The 17,081-nt window shown below is 40.5% G+C and overlaps 1 annotated feature.

Moving 5' to 3' along the window:
- Positions 15,988-16,565: an enhancer, noted in NCBI's record as "OCT4-NANOG hESC enhancer chrX:114552544-114553121 (GRCh37/hg19 assembly coordinates)". NCBI's record gives its function as "activates a minimal SCP1, AML or CMV promoter by ChIP-STARR-seq in primed H9 embryonic stem cells {active_cell/tissue: H9 hESC(primed)}" and the evidence as "EXISTENCE:reporter gene assay evidence [ECO:0000049][PMID:30033119]".

Genomic DNA, 17,081 nt, shown 5'->3' with positions numbered 1-17,081 from the left:
CCATCCCGCCCGGCCCCTTAACTATTTCTTAAACTCTTTGTGCCTGCCACCATGTCTTTAGCATAAAGTGGAACATAAATCCAAAAAAAATCATGTGCTTCACTATATTAAGTTTTTAAAAGCAGCATTTTACGGTGTTTAGTTACGAGTACTAGGATATCCGGGAGCTATGCTACCCAGTCACTGGGCACTTTTATCCTGGATTTAACTGAGGAAAAATTTTACAGAGGGCACGAGATTTGACCTGGATCTCACAGGATGGGAAGGAGCTAGACAGGATGAAAGGAATGAAGTGGGCATTTCCAGGAGTGGAATGGTGGCAATCAGATCCAGTGGCAGGACAATACGTAATGTGAACTGCATATGTAAGTTACATGGTAAGTCTCTGCTCGCACTTCCAAAAACCCCCCAGAAAATCAGTTATAACAAAGAGGGGAAACCATGGATTACCTTTTCTGCATTAGTTGTTTTGGAGAGAATTTGCATTGCAGTAGGATATCTACCACTCAGGAAGGTGAGAATTGGGGATGGGGGTGGGAATAAGATGTGAGGTGACACCAAAGAGGTGAATATCAGATCCACATATCCATCTGTCTATCTGAATGGGCATGTGTTTAATGATTATCTCATCCCAGGGGGAGGAGGGAAGAAGCTTCTCTAGCTATTCTGTTCAGGGCCTGACCACCCCCTCCCATGCCCAGGAGGCATTCACAAATGAAGGCTCGAAGTTTAACCGTTTGAGGAACTACCAGACTGTTTTCCAAAGCAGCGGCACCATTTTACAATCTCACTAGCAATGTATGAGGGTTTCAGTTTCTCTGCATCCTCCCTGACACTTGTTATTATCTGCCTAGTGGATGTGACGTGTTATCTCATTGTGGTTTGGTTTACATTTCCCCCTTCCCAGGGCTAATGATGTTGAATATCTTTCCACGTACTGATTTCCAAATAGCTCTTGATGGCTGATTGTAGGCATTTATTCACAACTCTGGTAACACAGTCACCATATGACCCAGAAATTCGACTCCCATATATATACCCAAGAAAATTTAAAACATATGTTTACACAAAAAAAATTATACAGGAATGTTCACAGTAGTATTATTCATAACAACTAAAAAGAGGAAACAGTCCAAATGTCCATCAATTAATGAATGGACAAACAAAAGTGGTATATTCATACAATGGAACATTATTCAGCCGTAAAAAGGAATGAAGTACTGATACATGCTACAAAGTGGATGAACTTTAGAAACGTCACACTAGGTGAAAGAAGTCAGGAACAAAAGGGCACACGATTCCACTTATATGAAATATCCAGAATAGGAAGATCCAGAGAAATGAAAAGTAGAATGGTTGTTACCAGAGCCTGAAAGGAGGATGAATGGGGAGTAACTTCTTAATTGGTGTGGGGTTTTATTTTGTAGTGATTGATGGAAATGTTTTGGAACAAGATGTGCGCCACTGAGTTGTTTACTTTAAAATGGTTAATTTTAGCTCAAGGAGCCAGTTGGAACCGGCTCCAGCACACCACTGCCTGAAGATTTTGCCCTCTTAAGTCAGAAAGATCTTACTGTTTATGCCTTATGATAGTCACATGCCACCACTGAGAAAATGAGTACCGAAATGACTAGCACTTTGAATGGGAAGGGGGCGAACTCCTGGAGGGCAAAAATTCAATATCTCAAATATATTATCCTATCACCTCTCTGTCTACCTCTCTATCTACCTTCTTACTCACCTTTATTGAATACTGAATTTTCCCAACAGTTTTATTTATGGGGAGATTGAGAACTAGAAATAACTAAGATCATACACGTCTAGGAAGTGGCAGAGGTGGGATTTAAACTTTGGTCCACCTCAGTCTGTGTTCTTACATTTAAATGGAAGCCTCGGGGAGCCATGGGAGTGGTACATAGCCATGTTCCTTGGGTACCCTTAAGCTATGGGGAAACTGCAACACTAAGTATGGCTGCTTCCTAAAGACTTCAGTCCCAGTTCAGAACTGGTGGCTTTGGAGCATTCTGAGGAACTGTGGGGCCGTGGAACTGCCTAGCTGTCAGAAATGATTTAGTCAGAACCATGGGGCTCTACCTGATCTGAGGCTTCTTTTGCCATCCCTTTCAGAAAATCCAAAGAGGAATTTAAATATTTGGGGGTTTTCGTAGGGAGCTGAGATGCATATTGCTTCCAGGTACCTTTAGGGCCATCGTTCCTAAAGACCTCACTTACCAGATGAAGAAACAAGCTTATAGAGGGGAAATGACTTCCCTAAGATCACACAGCTGATTCAGTCAAGCATCACCAGTAGATGAAGAAGTAACTGGAAGAAATTTGTCCTCATCCTCAACCTCTCCATTTTCCATTCCATCTTTTTTAATGTTCCTTCCTTGGTATCTCAATAAGATATACTCTTAAAAAAACTTTATTATATTTATTATATAATTTCATATACTGTATATTATTTATTTATAAATTTCTTGTTTTTTTCTTTTTCTTTTTTTTTTTTTTTTTTGAGGCAGGGTGTCACTCCATAACTCAGGCTGTAGTGCAGTGGCATGATCTCGGCTCACTGCAGCCTCTGCCTCCCTGGCTCAAGCAATCCTCCCATCTCAGCCTCCCGAGTACCTGGGACTGCGGCTGCCTCATCATGCCCAGCTAATATTTATTTATAAATTATACATAATTTATATATTTTGCTGAATGGGTGATTGATTTCTAAAATATTTTAAAGCGAGCCCCAGACAGCGTACTATTGCAAGGTATATATTCATAAAAAAAAGCAGTATGATATATATAATAGCAGAACCTAAATAAACATAAAGCCTACAGTGGGCTGAAGGTAGGAGACCTAGGCCTTGTTTCATTTAGCTCTGCCACTAAGTAGCTATCTAATCATGGGAAAGTTGTTTAAGCCCTTAGTCCCAGATTTATTTCCTTAAAATCAAAATAAAACTATATTTTATTACGATTTACGACACTAAAATTCTATGACAACTCATGGCCAGACACGGTGGCTTACGCCTGTAATCCCAGCACTTTGGGAGGCCAAGGTGGGCAGATCCACTGAGGTCAGGAGTTCAAGACCAGCCTGGCCAGCATGGTGAAACCTCGTCTCTACTAAAAATGCAAAAATTAGCCTCGTGCTGTGGCACGAGCCTGTAGTCCCAGCTACTTGGGAGGCTGAGGCACAAGAATCGCTTGAACCCGGGAGGTGGAGGTTGCAGTGAGCCGAGATCATGCCACTGCACTCCAGCCTGGGGGACAGAGCAAGACCTTGTCTCAAAAACAAAACAAAACACAAAAACCTATAACAATTCAAATTCCCTGAGGGATATTTGAATTTAAAAAGCGAACAGGCGTTTAAAGTTCCCTGGTTACTTATCTGGTAAAGGAAAGTGATTTGGGGGAGCATTAGTTATAGCTGTGGCGATGGGAGAAGAATTGTTCAGAGGTCTTAAAGTTACGCTTTTCGCGCAGATGCCAAAACGTTTCCAAAGAAGGCTGGTCTTGACTACCACAGCTGCCAGGTGTGGTTCTGAGAAATGCAAAATTATGCCATAACTCCTCTTTACTAGTAGACTTTCAGGATTAGTTGTTTGAATACCCTGAAGATCAACTGTCCGAATTAAATTGAGAAACTGGTTTAAGGATAAAATATTTTCCACCTTCAAACGAATATCTATTTTCTGAAGTAGCCCAAAACTCCACAATTTGTTTAACCATAAGAGTTTTCTTTTTTCCTTTATTTTACTGCGGTTTGTGAGAAGTTAACGAAAGGCCAGTTTTTGGAAGTTGAATGCTGCCATCTGGTGGTTGACAGGCAGCAGTGAGCTGGAGTAGGGAAATCTTTCCGCCAGACCCGTGGCAGAAAACAAACTAACAAAAAAACCCGCAGGACTAAAGGCGTAAGATGTAGGGCCGGACACGGTGGCCACGCCTGTAATCCCAACACTTTGGGAGGCCTATGTGGGAGGATTACCTGAGGCAAGAGTTCCGGACCAGCTGGGCAACACAGTGAGACCCCCCCGCCCACCTCCCCCTCCCCCCGCCATCTCTTAAAGAAAAAAAAAAGCATGAGATGTACAAATCAAAAAGCAACTTAAATGCTTTTTATTTTACCCACAAATGTGTTTATTTTTTCTAATATAAGTAAAATATGATTATTTCAGGAATTTATAAAATATGTTAAAGTACATGTGGGGAAATACAAATTTCCTACAGTTCTTAAATTCTAATGCATTTTGGTGCATTTTTTCCAATCTTTGCTTATTGCATTCTTTGCAATATCCCGAGTGTCATTAAAAATTCAATTTTTTGCCGGGCGCAGTGGCTCACGCCTGTAACCCCAGCACTTTGGGAGGCCGAGGTGGGCGGATCACGAGGTCAGGAGTTCGAGACCAGCCTGGCCAATATGGTGAAACCCCGTCTCTACTAAAAATACAAAAATTAGCCGGGCGTGGTGGTGGGCGCCTGTAATCTCAGCTACTCGGGAAGCTGGGGCAGGAGAATCGTCTGAACCAGGGAGGCAGAGGTTGCAGTGAACCGAGATTGCGCCATTGCACTCCAGCCTGGGTGACGGGCAAGCCTCTGTCTCAGAGAAAAAAAAAAATCAATTTTTTTCATAACTCTGACTTTCATCCAAAAATATTTCTTGAGCACCTTATATATACCAAGTACTTCGTTAGGCACTAGAGATAAAATAACAAAGGAAAAAATCTAGAAAGTCCCTGTCCTCACAGAGCTTGCATTCGGGGTCAAGAGCAACAATAAACAAATAAAGACATAATTAAAGGTTAAATCATGAGAAATGCTATGAAGAAAAATAAGGCATAACAAAAGGAAATAAAATGATTACAGAGCTACTTCAGATAGGGTGGTCATGAAAGGCCCCTCTGAGGTAGTGTAATAAGTAACATTTGAGCAGCATTCTGAATGACCAGAAGGAGAAAGCCATGTAAATGTGTAGGGGAAGAGTCCCATAGGGCAGGGGTCCCCAACCCCCAGGCCACAGACCGGTATCTGTCCAGGTCGCACAGCAGGAGGTGAGAGGAGGCTGAGCTTCATCTGTATTTACAGCTGCTCCCCATCACTGGCATTACCGCCTGAGCTCCACCTCCTGTCAGATCAGTGGCAGCATTAGATTCTCATAGGAGCGTGAACCCTATTGTGAACTGTGCATGCAAGGGATCTAGGTTGCAAAATCCTTGTGAGAATCTAATGCTTGATGATCTGTCATTGTCTCCCATCACCTCCATCCAGATGGGACCGTCTCGTTGCAGGAAAACAAGTTCAGGGCTCCCACTGATTCTACATTAAATTGTATATTTCATTATATATTACATTCATTATATTCATTCAGTATATTCATTATATATTACAATGTAATAATAATATAAATAACGTGCACAATAAATGTAATGCACTTGAATCATCCCGAAACCATCCCCCCTGCCCACACCCAATCCATGATAAAATTGTCTTCCACAAAACCTATCTTTAGTGCCAAAAAGGTTGGGGACCTCTGCCCTAGGTGTGAAAAGTGTTCTAAGAGGAAAGGGAAGTGCAAATGCTCTGAGGCAGGAGCATGCTTACTGTATTAGTGGCATAGTAAGGAAGCTGGTGTGGCTGGGAAGGTGTGTGGGAGATAAAAACAGGAAGGAAATAAAATAGGAGAGCACAGCCAGAGATCAAACCACAACAGGGCCAAACCATGTACAAACTTTATTTTCCCCCACTTAAATCCATTTAACATAACAGAGCTCCATCTTGAAGGATGGGCAGGATCCACAGTCAGCAAAGGCGGGAAAGAACATCCCAGAAAGAGACCAATGATGAAGCAAAGGCGTGAGTGCTTTTAAGGTTAAGAGTATGAGCTCTGGGACTTGAGAGAGATCTCCCAACTCTGCCACTTCTGGTTGTACCATGATTCCCTTTTCCCGAACCAATAAATACAGTGTAATCTGTTAGTACATCATAGGCCCTATCTCTAGGAACCCTAAGATCAGACGAAGATGGCTACACTGATAGAGTGGTAATGATCCAGCCAAGCAGAGGGTCACCCAACATCCACTATTATTATTGGATAGAGTATTAGAGTGGGGATATAGTAGACAGGAGAGAGGGAGGGAGTTTGGCACATTAAAAAGTAAGAAGCAGAAAGACTGATGGATGGAGAGATGGAGACAAGGGGTAAGCACTATAATTTCACCTGATCTTGGGCAGGAGTTTTAACTACCACTAAGAAGTAAGATCCCGCATAATCTCAAATTTTAGTATACATCAAAATTTTCTGGAGGGTTTGTTAAAACACAGATTTCTGGGACCCACACCCAGAGGTTTTGATTCAATAGGTCTGAGGTGAAGCCTGAGAATTTGCAGGTTCCCAGGTGAGGCTGAGAATGCTGGTTTGAAGACCACACACAGAAAATTCATGCTATGATTGGTGCCAAATGAGGCAAAAATGGAAAGTTCAGTCAGCCTGTTTCTTTGTTCTGTTCACATACTGCCAAACAGCTAGACTGCACATCTCTCGGCATTGTCCAACTGATTGTTATGACAATGTTGTACTTCTGATGTTATTCAAGGCAGAGAGGGAGAGGTTTGTGACTTATATAGCTGCTGTTTCATATGGGGGAAAAACCATTTGAAGCTTGGGAAATATTGCTGGGCTCATTGCCTTATGCTGTTGCTTTTTCTTCTTGCTTTTTTTTTTTTTTTTTTGAGACAGTTTCTCGCTCTGTCGCCCAGACTGGAGTGCAGTGGCGCCACTCACTGCAGCCTCCACCTTCCAGGCTCAGATGATTCTCTCACTTCAGCCTCCCGAGTAGCTGGGATTGCAGGTGCACACCGCCCCACTTGGCTATTATTTCTGTAGAGACAGGGTTTCTCCATGTTGCCCGGGCTGGTCTGGAACTCCTGGGCTCCAGCAATCTACATGCCTTGGCCTCCCAAAGTGCTGGGATTATAGGTATGAGTCACTGCGCCTGGCCATACTGTTGCTCCTTACCCTAATTACCCATTAGCAAGCAAGACATTGAAAGCAATGTATCCATCCCATATTCTTTGTAAATGAGATTATGAGAAAACAAGCCTTTTAGTATTCTGGTAGTGGGGATGTCAAATGGTACAACCTTTCTGTACAGCAACTTCTTTGTAGCATTCCAAATATGTACTATTTGATCCAGCAATTTTACTTCTGGAAAATTATCATATGTAATGAATTGAAGAGGTACTGCAAATATATAAGTACACGAAAACTCACCACAAGCATAATTTACAAAAACTTAAACTGAAAACGGCCTAACTATCCAGCAATGGGGAACTGGATAAATAGTGTAGAAAGCTTTACTGTGGAAGAAGGCTTAGTGGCAGTAAAATAAATACGGACGTAGCTATTACAAGTTTGCATGTGTGTGTGTGTGTGTGTGTGTGTGTGCGTGTGTGTGTGTGTGTGATAATTTTTGGTATTTTGTATTTTGAAAAATTTCTGCAATTAACCTGTATTATTTTTGTGATATGAAGAAACATTCTCTCTCCAAATCATTTGCCACAAATTACATTAGGAAGCTTCATGCACATTGGGCAACAGAGTGAGACCACGTCTCAAAAAAAAAAAAGTATACAAGAAGATGTGTATAGCTTATATGCAATTACTATGTTATTTCATATCAGGGACCTGAGGACCCATGGTTTTGGTATCCACTGGGGTCCTGGAGTTAATCCCCCACAGATACCGAGGGACAAATATAGTATATTGGACTAAATCCACGTTCAACTTGAAGTTCGTTTTAAAAATAAATAATTGAAGTTGGCTTATTTCTTTGACCTTTGTATCCTTCATGAAGGTGCAGTACAGGAAGAGACTCTTTGTGAATTAAGGGCTCCAGGTAGAATCTAGTTAACTGCATTTTTTTCTGATACATAAAAGATACCTTTTTATACATCAAGTAGTCCTAAAACAGACATGAATTCTTTAATATCACGTGAACAAGCTTATTGTGCAATTCTATTACACTCACGTGATTATCCATTGCTTGAAAGTTGAATTTCAAGTATATTCCTCTGGGCTGGTGCAGAAAACTCTTGGTTGTAGTATATTTTGTCCTTAGGAGTAAAGTTTTAACCCTATATCTCACATTTGTGTCACTTAAGCATAATAATTAGTAAAGATATATTTGTCAGCCACTAATTAGATGAGCAACTTTGGGCCATTCAACTTCATGTAAGTCTCATTAACACCAGCTGTAAAATGAAGAAGGTATATCCAAGAATCTTCAAGCTCCCTTTTTAGTAGTTAGGTTCCAAGTTCTGAATCAGGGAGTATTAGTGCAGCATTCAGAAGGATTGTAAACATGCATTAATCTAGTCTTTTTTTAATCATTACATCAAAATATCTAGGTGAGTTTTTCTACCGTTTATCTTTTTTAAAAATTGCATGCATGCATTAATCTAGTCTTTTTTATATTGTTACTTCAAAATCCCTAGATGAGTTTTTCTACTGTTTATTTTAAAAAATTTCTTCTTCTTCCTGGGCTCAGGTGATCCTCCCACCTCAGCCTCCCAAGTAGCTGGTACTACAGTACCTGCCACCACACCCAGCTAATTTTTTGTATCTTTGTTTGTAGAGACGGGGGTCTCACTCTGTTGCCCAGGCTGGACTCGAACTCCTGGGCTCAAGTGATCAGCCTATCTTGGCCTCCCACAGTGCTGGGATAATAGGTGTGAGCCACCCTGCCCAGATTCTACTGTTTAAATGCCAAATCAATCTCACTATTTTTAAAGTATAGTTATCCCTATATGCATTTTGGAACAAAAGTAGCTACAGCCTTCATATAGAGAAAAAAAATGGATTCATGGTTGCCTTGGGCTGTGAGAAGGGGGGGAAAGGAGGGAAAGGGGGAGTGACTATTAATGGGTACAGAGTTTCTTTGGGGGACATTAAAAATGTTCTAAAATTAGACTATAGTATTGGTTGCACACTCTGTTAATATACTAACTGAACCGTATACTTTAACGTGGCGAACCTTATAGTATAAGAATTATATCTCAATAAACTTGTTACCAAAAAAGTAGCTGGAGCACATGGCTACATAGCAGTTAATATGAAAAGCAGCTCAGTTATCCAAAATTTCCTTCTGCCACATTGTAGAGGCATGTTCTACACGAGGACTCCTGAAAGGCTGCTAGTGGGGCCTGGTTCTTACTTTGTCTTACTAAAACAGCTCTTCACATAAATAAACAGTACAGAAGAGTTTTATTTTCTTTTCATTCTTTTTTTTTTTTTTGAGACATTAAGACAAGGTCTCATTCCAGTATCATAGCTCATTGCATTCTCACCTTCCCTGGCTCAGTTGATTCTCCCACCTCAGCCTCCCAAGTAGCTGGGACTACAGGCACACGTCACCACAGCCCGCTAATGTTTTGTATTTTTAGTAGAGACGGGATTTGACCATGTTACTCAGCTGGTCTCAAACTCCTGGGCACGAGCAATCAGCCCACCTTGGGATCCCAAAGTGTTGGGATTACAGGCATGAGCCATAGGACCTGGCTGAAGACTTTTTTTTAATGGGTAGTTAGATATTTCAAGGGAATATGTTTATCACATGTAGTCACATTCTGTTAGAGGTAAAATACAACAAAAGCCCAAATGCTGTGTGGTGATTCTGACATTGTCAGTTGAGTTGCTGTACTTAGTAGTCCAAATAAATCAGGTATTTTTTTCTCAGTTTTTTTTTTTTAGTCTGGTTATAAATGTTTTTCCTACCATGACCCAACTGGACCAAAAACTGTTTATTTTGGGGAAAAGGGAGAGAATGCTCTGAGTAATTAGTTTCCTAATTGTTTTTCAGTTGTAATTTCGCTTTTTCTTTATTTTCTTTAACAACATACATCTGGGTTGGCCTAATCTAATCATATGATAAAAGCAAAAGGGAGCAAAAGAATAAGTCAGAATGATTCAAAGAGTGAGAAGGACATAACCTTCTTTTGCTGGTTTAAAGATGGAGGGAATTCAAGCTGCCTCTAGAAGCAGAGTGCCGCTGGCTGACAGCCAGCAAGGAAACGGGAACCTCATTCTCACAATCCCAAGCAACTGAAATCTGCCAACAACTAGAAGGAGCTTGGAAGCAGATTTTTCCCCAGAACTTCCAAGTTAGAGGGCAGCCTGGCTAGCATCTTGATTTTGTCAGAGGCGTTTGAATCATCTTGAATAGGGGCTGGGTAAAATAAGGCTGAGACCTACCTGGCTGCATTCCCAGATGGTTAGGCATTCTAAGTCACAGGGTGAGATAGGAGGTTGGCACAAGATACAGATCAAAAAGACCTTGCTGATAAAACAGTTTACAGTAAAGCAGCTGGCCAAAACCCACCAAAACCAAGATGGTGACAAGAGTGACCTGTAGTCATCCTTACTTCTACACTCCCACCAGATCCATGACAGTTTACAAATGCCATGGCAACATCAAGAAATACCCTATATGGTCTTAAAAGGGGAGGGATGAATAATCCACCCATTCTTTGGCATATAATCAAAAAATAACCATAATAATGGGCAACCAGCAGCCCTCAGGTCTGCCCTGCCTATGGAGTAGCCATTCTTTATTCCTTTACTTTCTTAATAAACTTGCTTTCACTTTATGAATTTGCCTTGAATTCTTTCTTGCATGAGATCCAAGAACCCTGTCTTGGGATCTGGATCGGGACCCCTTTCAGGTGACAATTTCAGCTCTATGGAACCCTAGGGAGAGAACTAGCCAAGCATGCCTGGACATCTGACCTATAGAACTGCGAGATAATGAATGGGTGCTATTTTAAGCTGCTTTTTGTGGTAATTTTTGTTTTGCTTTGTTTTGTTTTTGAGACAGGGTCTCTGTTGCCCAGGCTGGAGTGCAGTGGCATGATCTCAGCTCACTGCAACCTCCGCCTCTAAGGTTCAAGTGATTCTCCCACCTCAGACTCCTGAGTAGCTGGGTCTATGGGTGCACACCACCACACCTAGCTAATTTGTGTATTTTTTGGTAGACACGGGGTTTCACCATGTTGGCCAGGCTGGTCTTGAATTCCTGACCTCAAGTGATCCACCCACCTCATCCTCCCAAAGTGCTGGGATTACAGGCGTGAGCCACCCCACCTGGCCTGTGGTAATCTGGCAGCAATAGAAAACTAATACACTAGGCTTTTAAATAATCTAACTTCTTTACTTTTACTTGTGGGGTTTGGTGTATAAATTATTTCATCACCCAGATAGTGAGCATATTACCTGATAGGTAATTATTCAACCCTCACCCTCCTCCCACCCTGCACACTAAAGTAGGCCCCAGTGTCTGTTGTTCCCTTCTTTGTGTCCATTTGTACTCAATTTAGCTTCCACTTAAATAAATGAGATCATGTGGTAATTGGTTTTCTGTTCCTGTGTTAATTTGCTTAGGATAATGACCTCCAGCTGCATCCATATTGCTGCAAAGGACATGATTCCATTCTCTCACAATAAAGTATTTTTAAGATAAGATATACACATTGTCTTTGTACATATAATGCTATTGCACATTTAATAGACTATAGTATAGTATACATAAAACTTGTGTTACAATCTTGCCAATGCACCACAATGTAGCAGTCTCTTATTGTGAGGTATTACCCAAAGTTCTTTGTCTCACAACCAAGAGAATTAAGGAGCATGGACGCAAAGGGTGAGGTTGGAGTGAAAGTTTAATAAGCAAAAAAAGAAAGCTCTCTGCTGCAGAGAGGGGGCCCGGAAGTGGGTTGCCATTTTTACAGTTGAACACAAAGGTTTTTATAGGAAACCAATGAGGGCTGGGCATCTCATTTGCATAAACCATGAATTTCTTGTAGCTCTGCCCTGTCCTCCTAATGTACATGCTGGCCCTTAGCTTGAGTTACTTCATATTGTTTTCTTTCCCTTACTGCACACATGACAGGGAACAGAATTTTCTATTGCAGCTGTGTCTGGGCAAGTCACCTGTGTAGCCTTTCTTATCTGTGCAGCTGTGGGCCTATCTTAGGAAAGCCCCCTTGTGCAAGTTCCCTTATCAGTGTGTGCCAGCTGTTCTTTTGGTCAAAAGGATTAAACTCAGGACCCACCCTAACTGCCTGCCTGACCTGGTTTTTTCTTTTCTCCTCTTTCACTTGTACATGCACTGGAAAACCAAAAAATTTGTGTGACAGCTTTATTGCTATATTCACTTTATTGGGATATTCACTTTATTGTGGTAGTCTGGAACTAAGCCTGCAACATCCCTGTGGTATGCCTGTATATGCAAATAAACTTCTAATTATTTTTCTCTTGTTAATCTGTCTTTTGTTACAGGGGTCTGTCTCAACTAACTCAGAAAAGGTAGAGGAAAAAGTATTCTTTCTTCCCTTACATCATCACTAGGCAAAGTCCTCCACTATTGGAGCCAACAGCATTTGGAATACTGAAATTTATTTAGCATGTCTAGTATGATTGTATTTCTAAAGAGCAGAAGAGTTTTAAATTTTAAGATTGAAAATGAGGAAAAATCTTCACAGCATTGAAGTCTTCAACATGACATTGCCTGCATGCTTTAAGCAGAAAGGGTACAACATCAAGACATTTATAATCACCAGAGAAAATTGATGCATGGAAATCTCAAATAAAAATAAAACCAAGCCAGATGGCTGGGCACGGTGGCTCACTCCTGTAATCCCAGCACTTTGGGAGGCCAAGATGGGCGGATCATGAGGTCAGGACATCGAGACTATCCTAGATAACTGGGTGAAATTCCGTCTCTACAAAAAATACGCCAGGCGTGGTGGCATGCACCTGTAGTCCCAGCTACTTGGGAGGCTGAGGCAGGAGAATTCCTTGAACCCGGGAGGCAGAGGTTGCAGTGAGCCGAGATCACGCCACTGCACTGCAGCCTGGGCGACAGAGCAAGACTCCGTCTTAAAAACAAAAACAAAAACAAAAACAAAATAAAACAGAAAAACAAGCCAGGTAATTTTACTTAAGAATTTTCTGGTTCTGCATTAGGATTATTTACAGACGTTGTTATGGATTGTTCAGTCAGATTCTAGAGGCTCCCTGCTGAAAAATACATTTTTTTGTTTCATATTGTCCATTTAGAATAATTAAATATAGTTATACAGATGTCTGCCTGCAATTACCTTTCTATGATTTTTGTAGGAATTACACTCATTTCCTGGTGTTATCCAAATGGGAAAAGTTGAAACAAATCATCCAAAAGCCATCCTTACTCAGCACAAGGTGTTTATTGTCTATATTTAAAATTGACTCAACATTTTCAGTGACAATATTCTCTTTGCTTGATCCTCAGTCTGACATTCAATTTCAGATTTTTTGCCACTATTACCAGATGCAAGAATGTCAAAGCCAGTGAACCCCTAGAGATCAAGCTGGCCAACCTCTTCACTTAAGAGATAAGGAAACTGGGATTCAGAAGAGTCAAAAGACTTCCTGAAGGACTGATAGCTAGTGGTGACCCAGAGGCAAACTCTCTTAAGATCTCGATGGGGCCTGGATCAAAACACTGCTTATCAGAATCTAGAAAAGATATCATAGTTGGAGATAAAATCTACGAATAGTGCCCTGAAAATCTTTATATATACTAGGCCTGTGACTTTGACTGTATTCATAATAGCTAAGTGAGATAGAAAACTGTATTATCCCAATAACTTAATATACTCTTTACTGTTATTTTAAACAATTTCTTTTCAAATTTGGGGGGTAAATAGTATCTGTACATATTTATGGGGTACACGAGATGTTTTGATACAGGCATTCAGTGTGAAATAAGCACATCATGGAGAATGGGGTATTGATTCCCTCATGCATTCATCCTTTGAGTTGCAAACAATCCAATTACACTTTTTAAGTTATTTTAAAGTGTACAATTAAGTTATTCTTGACTATAGTCATCCTATTGTGCTATGAAATAGTAGGTCTTATTTATTCCATTTTTTTTGTACCCATTAGCCATCCCCACTTCTCCCCAAGCACCCCACTACCCTTCACAGCCTCTGGTAACCATCCTTCTACTCTCTTTGTCCATGAGTTCAATAGTTTTGATTTTTAGATCCCACAAATAAGTGAGAACACGCAATGCTTGTCTTTCTATGCCTGGCTTATTTCACCTAACATAATGTCCTCCAGTTCCATCCATATTGTTGCAAATGACTGGATCTTATTCTTTTTTATGGCTGAACAGTGGTCCATTGTGTACAAGTACCATATTTTAATCCATTTATCTGTTGATGGACACTTAGGTTGCTTCCAAATCTTGCCAATTGTAAACACAGCTGCAACAAACATGGGAAAGCAGGTATCTCTCCGACATACTGATTTAATTTCCTTTGGATACATAACCAGTAGTAGGATTGCTGAATCATACGGCAGTTCTATTTTGACTTTTTTGAGGAACCTCCAAGCTGTTCTCCACAGTGGTTGTACTTATTTACATTCCCACTGTTAAAGCAAAGTAAATATGGCCTGAGACGGACTCCATACTTCTGTATTTAGGTTCTTGCGGATGAACCTAAATAAGTAGACAAGATTGAAACCTTAACTTAGGAATATGTGCCTGTAACAATAGCTGAGTCAATGCATGAACATGGAATATTTTTCCATTTTCTGGTGTCCTCTTCAATTTCCTTTATCAGTGTTTTATAGTTTGCATTGTAGATATCTTTTACTTCATTGGTTAAGTTAATTCCTAGGCATTTCATTTTATGTGTCTATTATAAATGGGATTACTTTTTTAAATTACTTTCTCCACATTGTTCACTATTGACTTATAGAAATGCTACTAATTTTTGTATGTTGATTTTGTATCCTGTGACCATACTAAATTTTTAAAGTCAGTTCTAATAGTTTTCTTGTGGAGTCTTTGAGTTTTTTCCAAATGTAAGATCATATAATCTGCAAGCAAGGATAATTTTACTTCTTCTTTTCCAATTTGGATGTCCTTTATATTTTTCTCTTGACTGATTGCTCTAGACAAGACATGAATGCCTGCTTTTACTACTTCTATTCAACATAGTGTTGGACATGCTAGCCAGAGCAATTAGGTAAGAGCAAGAAATAAAATGCATCCAAATTGGAAAGGAAGAAGTAAAATTATCTGTTTGCAGATCACATGACCTTATATGTAGAGAACCTTAAAGATTCCACTAAAAAACTATTAGAACTAATAAACAAAGTCAGCAAAGTTGCAGAACACAAAATCAACACACAAAAAGCGTTTGATTTCTACAAACTAACAATTAACAATCCAAAAAGGAAATTAAGAAAAAAATTCCTTTTACAATAGTATCAGAAAGAACAAAATATTTGGGAATAAACCTAACCAAGGAGGCTAAAGACTTTTACACTGAAAACATCACTGAAAGAAATTAAAGAAGGCACAAATAAATGGATATGAGGCAGGAGAATAAGGTCTGGAGGCAGGGAATATAAGGCTAATTCACCCTTACTTCCGAGAACTAAATCAAATGGAAATATCAAATGGAACTAAATCAAATGACAGGAAATATCCTCTCCATTTACATAGGGTGTACACTAAGTAAATTATTTTCTAACTTTACTTCATCCTCTTCATTCATATAGGGCTTATACCAAGCAATCAATGGAAACCTCTAGAGGGTAATTAAACCCAGAAAATTCTGAAACAGGGTTCTTCAGTCCCTATGCTCGGGACCACTCCCATACTGTGGAGTGCATTTTCATTTTCAATAAATTGCTGCTTTTTTTGTTTCATTCTTCCCTTGCTTTGTTTGTGCATTTTGTCCAGTTCTTTGTTCAAGACGCCAAGAACCTGGACACCCTCCACCGGTAACATACTGGTAAGCCAGCCAGGAGGTAAGCCCGAAGTTTGGAATTTAATTTTCTCCGTTTCCTTTCTGCTTCATACAGGGGAATCTCTCTCTTTCTCTTTTTCTTTCCAATGTGGGAGCCTTGGTGAGCAGCAGCTAAACATGGAGGCAACTGGAGGTTTCCGGCCATGGCAGGTGAAACTAAGGGGCGTCCATGTGGAGGCGCCTAACCACCACCACCACCCAGTTTGGGTAAAGGATCTGGGTCTTTTTCCTTTTTTTCCCCCTCTCTTTCTTTACTCTTTTCTATCTTTTCTGGTTGTGGTCCCTGATCTCTACATGTGGCGCAGCTTGGAGCAAACTCACACGCTTTTCAGGTGACTGAAACCTTCTTTTCTTATGCTAAATTCTTCCCTTCTACTTGACTGGCTAAGGACAAAAGAAATCCACCTAGCCTTTAGTTTCCTATCATTAAAGTTCATAGCTATCACTCTAACGAAGAACAGGAAGCATGGGAAAAGGTGGCCTTATAAATTAAAAGGCTGCTAGAAGTTGAGGCCTTCATCCAGGGACAAAAGGAAAGCTCATAGTAGGCCATCACCTCTGGAAAGAAAACATGCAAGTGGCACTGGTGCCCACCTAAGGTCAGAGACGTCTGACAATCTAAGATTGGACCTCAAAGGGGGATACCCTGGGGGATCCTCCAGACCTCAACAACTCCAAATGGGATACCCTTAGCAGAGGTTCTGAGGTCTAGTATTAAACCATCCTTAGAATTTTCTCTTGCAGTTGCAATACTGTTTGGCCCCAATATTGTTTGGAACCTGGATTTTACTGTTGAATGGGAAAGTGGGATGGTATTGCATGTATCCAGGCTTTTGTGCTGCTGTTCTAAGCAGGGGGCCTGGTTAATGTGTGATGCTCTCCTTTGGTGCTGTTTGGCCCTAGTGTTCTTTGGAGTCGGGAGGTTTGGCCTTTAAAAATCACACTGCCATGGAAACTGCTTTATCTGAAACTGGTTCACAGCCTTCATCGGATTATCTATTGGGGCAAACAAAGTAAAATTGGCAAGCTTGTATTGCTATCTCATGGCTAAGGTTCCAAACTATTGGATATATCAAGTGTTTGGCATAGAAGGTTATAAAACTATAAACCTAGCCAAAACAAAATGATCTTGGTTTGCGTGCCTTTTTTTTTTTAATGAGAGTAATTTGTGAAAGGAAAATATCTTGGGCCACAAAAATCACTAAGCTGAAGGGAAAATTCAA

This window comes from Homo sapiens, chromosome X (assembly GCF_000001405.40).
Source record: "Homo sapiens chromosome X, GRCh38.p14 Primary Assembly".
Taxonomy (NCBI): Eukaryota; Metazoa; Chordata; class Mammalia; order Primates; family Hominidae; genus Homo; species Homo sapiens.
The sequence above is the reverse complement of the archived record's forward strand: the minus strand, read 5'-3'. Positions and strand labels throughout refer to the sequence as shown.